At 46.4% G+C, this 7,451-nt stretch overlaps 1 annotated feature.

Annotated features, from left to right (window-relative positions):
• Positions 5,814-7,013: an enhancer, noted in NCBI's record as "P300/CBP strongly-dependent group 1 enhancer chr8:134194436-134195635 (GRCh37/hg19 assembly coordinates)". NCBI's record gives its function as "activates an origin of replication core promoter dependent on BRD2, BRD4, P300/CBP, MED14 and CDK7 cofactors, with strong dependence on P300/CBP, by STARR-seq in HCT116 cells {active_cell/tissue: HCT116}" and the evidence as "EXISTENCE:reporter gene assay evidence [ECO:0000049][PMID:35650434]".

Below are 7,451 nucleotides of genomic sequence, written 5' to 3' on the forward strand. Positions count from 1 at the left end.
AACCCAGTGGCGACCAGGCTTCCCCAGACCTCAGGCCACACTCTTCTGGGTTGAGTCAAGCCTGGTCTAACCTCCACCCTGCCTTGCCCCACATCCACTTGCCAGTCCTTGGAGAATTTGCACTTGTGGTTGACTTAAGGGAATTTGGCGAGAGCGCATGCAGAGAGCCAGAGTGCCAGTCCAGAGGCTCAAGCACGTTCAAATCCAACAGGTGTGTGAGGATGGCGGGGGTCCAGGGGTCAGATCTCCACTTTGTGTGTACAGCACACCAGCTTTACAATCTCCCCGAAGGGGCCAAGTGACTACAGATTCTGAATCACGATTTATAGCTCTGATTGTCTAGCAGGTGCCCTGCACACTGTGCATACTAGCACCATGCCCAGAAAAAAATCCTGATGGTGCCAATCAACATTTGTTTGTGGGTGGATAAAGGGCTGAGCTAACCCAAATGTCTGGTTTCAAATTCTAGCTCTGTTGCTTTTCAGCCATCTGTTATGGGCTGAATTGTGTCCATCTCAAAGTTTTTATGTTGAAGTCCTAACCCCCAGTTCATCAGAATGTGTATTTGCAGGTAGGGTCTTTCCAGATGCAATTGCATAAAGCAAGGTCATGTGGGTGGGCCCTAACCCAATATAATTGGTGTCATTATAAGAAGAGATTAGAACACAGACACGTGCAAAAGGGAGACCATGTGAAGACACAGAGCGGAGACAGCCATCTCCAAGGCAAGGAGAGAGGCCTCAGGAGAAACCAATCCTGCCAACACCTTGATTTTAGACTTCAAGCTTCCAGAACTGTGAGAAAATAAATTTCTGTTGTTCAAGCCAACAAAGTCTGTGCTACTTCATTTCAGCAGCCCTAGCAAACTAACACAGCATGGAATCTCTCTGAGCCTCAGTTTATTTCCCTGATCTCCTGTTTTCACAGCTGTAAAATGGGCATCATAATACCTGATATTGTAAGATTATTTTGAAAATAGAATGAATCATAAACTTAAAAGTGCCTGGAACATGGGAGATTTCCCCCAAATTTCAGTTCCTCTCCCTTTCTTTTCTGTGACCAATTTTTAATTTGTTCTTCTCCATTGCTGAATAGTATTCCATGGCATGGCTATGCTAAAGTTTCTTTAAACAATTACCCATTGAAAGGCATCATGGTTTCTTCCAGTTTTGGGTTATTACAATTAAAGCTGCTATGAATGATCCTGTAAAGGTTTCTGGGCAGACGTAAGTTTTCCTTCCTTCCTCCTCTTTCTCCCTTGTCTTCTTTCCCCCATCTCCTCCTCCCTCTCCTCTTCTTTTCATTTTCTTTCTCCTCTCCTTCTTCATCCTCCCTCTCCTCTTCTTTCTCCTCTTTTATCCTCCTCCTTTTCCTCTTATTTCTCTTCTACATCTCTTTCCCCTCCTCTCCTGCTCCTTCTCCTTTTCCAACCTCTCTGAAATTTGTTGCACTGTCCTGGATGCAGAGGAGTGAGGCTAACTGAATTTTCCAGTCTACAGCTCGTTATCATCCATGCAGCACTTGTTCGCCTTTTGGCTCCTGTGTTGCCCTTCCACCCCAGTCCCTCTCCAATCCTCTCCTTCACAGCCATAGGAAGCATCTCTAACATGTGTGTCTCTGAACATGTACATGTACATTGCAGGATGAGGTGCATCTGATTCTAATTCACATCACTGGTGCTGACTGGAGGTCTCCTCCCCGTTTTACTTCTTTCATTCAGCTCTGGGTATCAACTGTTTCCCTGTTGTTCTATGCACATCCATCTCTTGTTTTGAATGGCTGCTTTTACTTTCCTTTCCTTCAAATCAGATGCCTAGGCTGCCTCCTGCTCCTTGTCACTGCAAGCAATACCTGGATAAGTATCTTCCTGCATGTCCTTTTATGGTCCTTGGGAAAATGTCTCAGGGGCGTACACACAGAAGGCCATAGGGCACATGATTGCTTCATTTTATTAAGCAATGCTAGATTGTTCTGCAGAAGAGCTGCCCAACATACATTGGGAGGAGGGGTGTGGCCATGCAGGCTTCCCATTTTTAGTGGGTCATCTCCAGGAAGCAGGGGGAGTGAGAGGGTGTGGTTTTAAGAAAGCAATGAATCCCAGCCCTTGGTCCCAAGCATCCAGCACTTGACAAACAAGACCACCCATGGCAGATACCACATTTCCCATCCAGAGCTTGGGAGAACTGGATCTATAATAGAATATCATGTGCCTAGAATGTTTTTCTCCCTAGAGCAAGGACATGAACCAGTAGGAGATATATAGATATACATATACATTTAGAGATAGAGGTAGAGATATGGACAGATTTATATATAATTGACTTCTGTTACTATGAGGGCTTGCAGGTCCAAAATCCATAGGGCAGGCCTGCAGACTGGAGACCTTCAGGAAGGAGTGGATACTGAAGTACACATTTTTCCACCTAAATGTGGAATAGGGAAAAACTGTCTACTTGGACTTGTCCCTACAGACAGGACAATAGGCACTCAATGCTGGGCCCTTTCTTAGCCCTCCACCATATACCCATCTAGGATATTCTGGCCCTCATTAATCAAATTTCAAGCTTCTTCCCAATCTCTTTTTTCTTCCTTCCTTACCCTCCCTTCTCTCCTCCATCCATCTCCCCATCCCCGTGCTATTCAGTCACAGCACAATGATGGAGACTACAGACACTGTAGAGTGAACCCAGCATGGCCTCCCAGGCTTCTAATCCTAGCTTGTTGTCTATTAGCTGGATGACCTTGGGCAAGTTACTTAACCCCTCTGTGCTTCACATCTCTTTCTTGCCAAACAAGGATAATAGCAATAGAATCTACATTATCAGGTTTTTCTAAAATTACATGGCTTATCACATAAAAGGAACATAGAACAGGGTTGGCTCGTGGTAAGTTCTAAGTAAATAGGAGTTAATATTAGTATTTATGACAAGAACAAGGATTACAGCCTTTACTTCTATAGGTAAAAAGGGATGAAGAACAAGGAAACAAATACAATTCATTGTGGGAAGGTAAGACAGCAGGAGAACTTAGGTGGGTGAACAATACATAGTGGACATGGAAAAATGCCATGAACTAATACAATAACAGTTAAGTGAAAGGATTGAGACAGAGCGTTTAACTCTGTCTCTGGGGTCTCCAAAGGTGAGTTGGATTGCATGTGCCAATTTGGCTGAGGTTGAGAATGTTAACAACTAGAACCCCCTTCTCTGTATAATTCCAAATAGATGTATCCAAAAGTAAAACTTGAATGAGATTAGAAGGACAGAAGTAAGGATGAAGTGATAACTCTAGAAGATCAACATGACTATTTTAACTTCTACCTGGGTCAAGAACTGATAACATGCAAAACTTTAAAGGTCCTGGCACCTGCTCTCCTACAATATTTTAGTAGTAACAAAGAATCTAAGTACTTTAGGGTCGGTTGGTTGCTCTCCAGTACACTGGAGAACTTAAGGAAAGAAACTGATCTTCAGACTTTAAGTTCCCAGCTCAAAATCTGAATACTGAACCACAAAGCTTCTACTGTGGTCCTGAAAGAAATCCTTGTCTTTTGTAGCCAAAGGATTGACATTTATAAAAGCCAAACACAACACCACGTCCTGAGATGGCTGAATTATAATGCAAGTTGAATTCACAAATTTGCAAGGAAGGAGGAATTGGGAGAGTGGAACCCTCAATATTGAGTTGGGAACATATGAGCAGATTCCAAATGAATTTGAGGACCTGGAACTCCCAAATTCTGTAAGCTTTCTTTCCAGTTGAAACCACCCTTCTTCCCTATCTGAGAGGTTGAGTTCTCCATGTCCATAGAACATATTATGAAACATCCTGAGATAGCTGCCTTGCAAGGGAGCTAATCCTACTAAAAATGCACCCCATAGCCTCTGATTTCATCTAGACATCACCAGATGCAATCTTCAGCAGCACCAGGGGATACAATATACCACCTACAAAATTTTGCTAATTTGCATCAACAGACACTCGGAGCACATGAATTTAAATAAATCCTAAGAATGTTGGATCAGGGTAAAAGGAACACGATGTTGGCACAGGCCATATCCATTGACATGGGCTCACTAGCTAGAGATCCCGGATTTAATGCATCAATCAACTCAAGCAACTGGGAATAGTTCTAACAGTTTGTTTGGTAGTTTCACTGAAACCTGAACCCCAAAGTGGCCACTTTGGAGTAAGATTGAGATACAGAACTTCTTTCGTGTTCCATAACGGACTTAGGGAGGTCAGATTGCTAGCATGAGTTTTCATACCATCTGCTCACCCACAGCTGAGTTATACCCCCCAGGAAGGTCCAGAGGACACTCCTTTTCCCAAGCCTATGGGATACAATGGTGGAGAGAGCACCAGCAACCATGAAGGCCTCTGCTGGGGTCATCCTCTGCAAGCTGATGGTTATAGTGGGATGTGTTCCCATTAAATGGGCTCCCTGAATTCGCTGAAGATGATGAAGTCCCAGGCTGAAATCTGCAAGAGATCAGGAGGGTGTGGGTACCGAAATGGGCAGCAAAAATAAAATAAAAATTCAGTAGACTGATTAATGGCTGTTCTCTGACTCCACCCCTATTCTCTCCTCCTAGATCTTCACTGCCCCTGTTTCCCATTTGTGTAAGCCTGAATGCCTAAAATTCCCATATGGAATAAGTTTCATAAATAAATGGCCATGTGGAATAAATGGAATCCAGTGTCCCTTTATGGTGACTCTTCCTGTCTCGTAGAATCCTGAGTGATACAGAAGCTTCCCGGAGGACAAAAGTCTGAGCAGAATCTTGAAGGATGAGCAAGAGTTGGCAGCAAGGCATGTGGTGAAGGGCATTGTAGGAAGAGTCAGGTCATAGGCAGAGACCGGTCCTGCGGGAACTCTGGGTTGGCCAGGCTTATCTGAGCTGAGAGGAAGGAGAAGTGGGTGTGGTGGGAGAGGAGGCAGGAGGCAGTCCAAGATGGTCTGGGGTACAAGAGTAAGGAAATTGTTTTCTCACATCTAGAAAACCCCACTTTCTGCTGGAGTCCTCCCTAATCTCCCTTTTCTCTGAACCATTCCTGCCTATACAGTAGACATAAGTCATTCAAATAGAGAGCTATGTGGCTGGGAAGGTGCAGAGAGCGGTGGCCTCTTCAGCACATGGATGGGGTTCTGAGGCCCAGAGGGGCCACTGATTTGCCCAATTTCAGGAACCATTTGCCACTGTTTGCCCCTCAGGAACTGTTGGGCACTTGGGCTGACTCTTATAATCCTGATTTCCCCGAGGGCCAGCCAGGCTCCATCCCTATATCTGGTGAAGCTCTGAGTTCCACCATGGCCACTGCCCTGAACCTATGCCTCTAGCCTCAGCAGGTTCCTCAGCCATGAGAGAAGCCACTCAGCTCTTCTCAGGGTGGCCACTCTCCTGGGGTGACACCATCCCTGCTGGGTGTAGGTCACAATGCCTATATGGTGGTAGTGTAGGTGATAAATGATCAAATTGTGCATTTTAAGGTGGGGATGACAGGATTTAATAACAGATAAACAAGAAAGGGCAGATGGAGGAGACTGATATGTACTGAGCATCTATTATGCCCCTGACATTGTCCTCAGAGTTTTCATGCATGTTGCCATAATAGGATGAATGGTGGCCCCAGAAAGATATGTCTACATCCTAACCTCCAGAGCCTGGGCACATGACTTTATTTGGGAAAGAATTCTTTGCAGATGGGATTAAGTTAAAAATCTTGGTGTGAGATCATCCTGGATTATCTGGGTGGACTGTAAATCCAATGGCAAGCGTCCTTATAAGAGACACACATTGAGGACAGAGAAAAGGCGGGACCAAGGCAGGGATTAGAGTGATGCAACCACAAGCCAAGAACCCCTGGAACTACAAGGAGCTGGAAGAGGCAAGGCAAGCGTCTCCTCTAGAGCTCTCAGAGAACGTGCTGCCCAGACAACACCCAATTTCTGATTTCTACCCTCCAGATCTGTGAGAAAGCAAGCTTCTGTTGTTTTAAGCCACTGAGTTTATGGAAATCATTATGGTAGCACCAGGAAACTCATCCAGTTGCCTCATTCCATCCCCACAACCTGCAATGGAACATATTATCAGCCCATTTTACAGATGGGAAATCTGAGGCTCAGAGAAGGTAAATAGCTCCTCTGTGATGAAACACTGGCAGGAAGTGGAGTCAGATCCCGCCCCTGCCTGGATCCACAGCACACACTTTTCCACTCTGCCGTATTTCTTAAAGCAGGCTCCAAGGATGCTCTTCCTCTGACTCACCCGGAGGTGTTTGTTTAAAAGCAAATTTGCAAACCCTTACCAGACACACTGACTCAGAACCTCTGGGTCACAGTCCTGGGAATTTTTATGTTTTAAAAGCTTCCAGGTGAATTCCATGCACCAGGGCTTTGAGAACGTCCGTTCCACAATGTGCTGCATTTGATGTGGGCCAGCTGCTAAGCCCTAGGAGCTCAAGAATGAAGACACTCTCATCGCTACCCACCCCAACCCCCGGCCCAGGCCCCCAGGTGGCTCCCTAGGCATGGTTCAGGGGCTGGGGTCACTCTAGGTTCCTGGCACAGTCTGGCTTTGAAACCGCTTCTCTGCCGTTTTCTCCACGGGTGCTTTGGAAACGCTCAACACCCAGGACAAGCACAATATCACTCCCTTTCCCGTGGCAGAGTCGCATGGCAGCTGCTCACTGCTTCCCAGCCCAGAATGCCTGCTTCCTGCTCGCTGCCAACCCAAACCAGTGCAGCCTCCAAGCCCCACGTGCACCCAGATCTTCCACCAAGTCTGCCAAACACTCCAACCCACACTCTCCTCCTCCTAGGAACACTTGGAAGGCTCTGGAACCTTGAGTGCTTCTCACTCAGAGAGGCCCACACCTGCGCAATGGCAACACCACAGTCAGGTATCCGATCCCGGCCCCTGCCTGGCACGTGACTTTGAACAATGACTTACCTCTGTGAGCCCAAAGGTGAACCCAGAAACACTGTTTCTGCCTCTGTAAAATGGGGAGGATGTTAACACCTGCCTCATCTGTGGCTCTGCATTAAAGAATCAAAACCCAAGGAGGGCTTGGTGGAGCCCCCAGCACGTATTCTAGAAGCAGCCAGCAGTGCTCTTGCCACAGGGATCTGAGAAACAGAGAGGTGCACACTTTCTGTGATTTAAAACTCTCAAGAGCCCCATGAGGTAGATGACACCATCCTCTTTTTATAAAAGAGGGTGAGCAGGACTTATTCTTACATTGAACATCTATTGAGCACCCACTGCATGCAAGTCATGGGGCCAGACCACAGGGCGCACAAAGATGAAAGGGCACGATGTGGCCATGGTGGCCCACAGCAGGAGCCTCACATCCAGCTGGGGATCTATGTGGCTGGAGTCCAGGTCCTGGGGCAACAGGGGTGAAATTGAAATCTGGACACAGAGCCCTGGCTGAGTCCCCCACAGCAG

This window comes from Homo sapiens, chromosome 8 (assembly GCF_000001405.40).
Source record: "Homo sapiens chromosome 8, GRCh38.p14 Primary Assembly".
In the NCBI taxonomy this organism is placed as follows: Eukaryota; Metazoa; Chordata; class Mammalia; order Primates; family Hominidae; genus Homo; species Homo sapiens.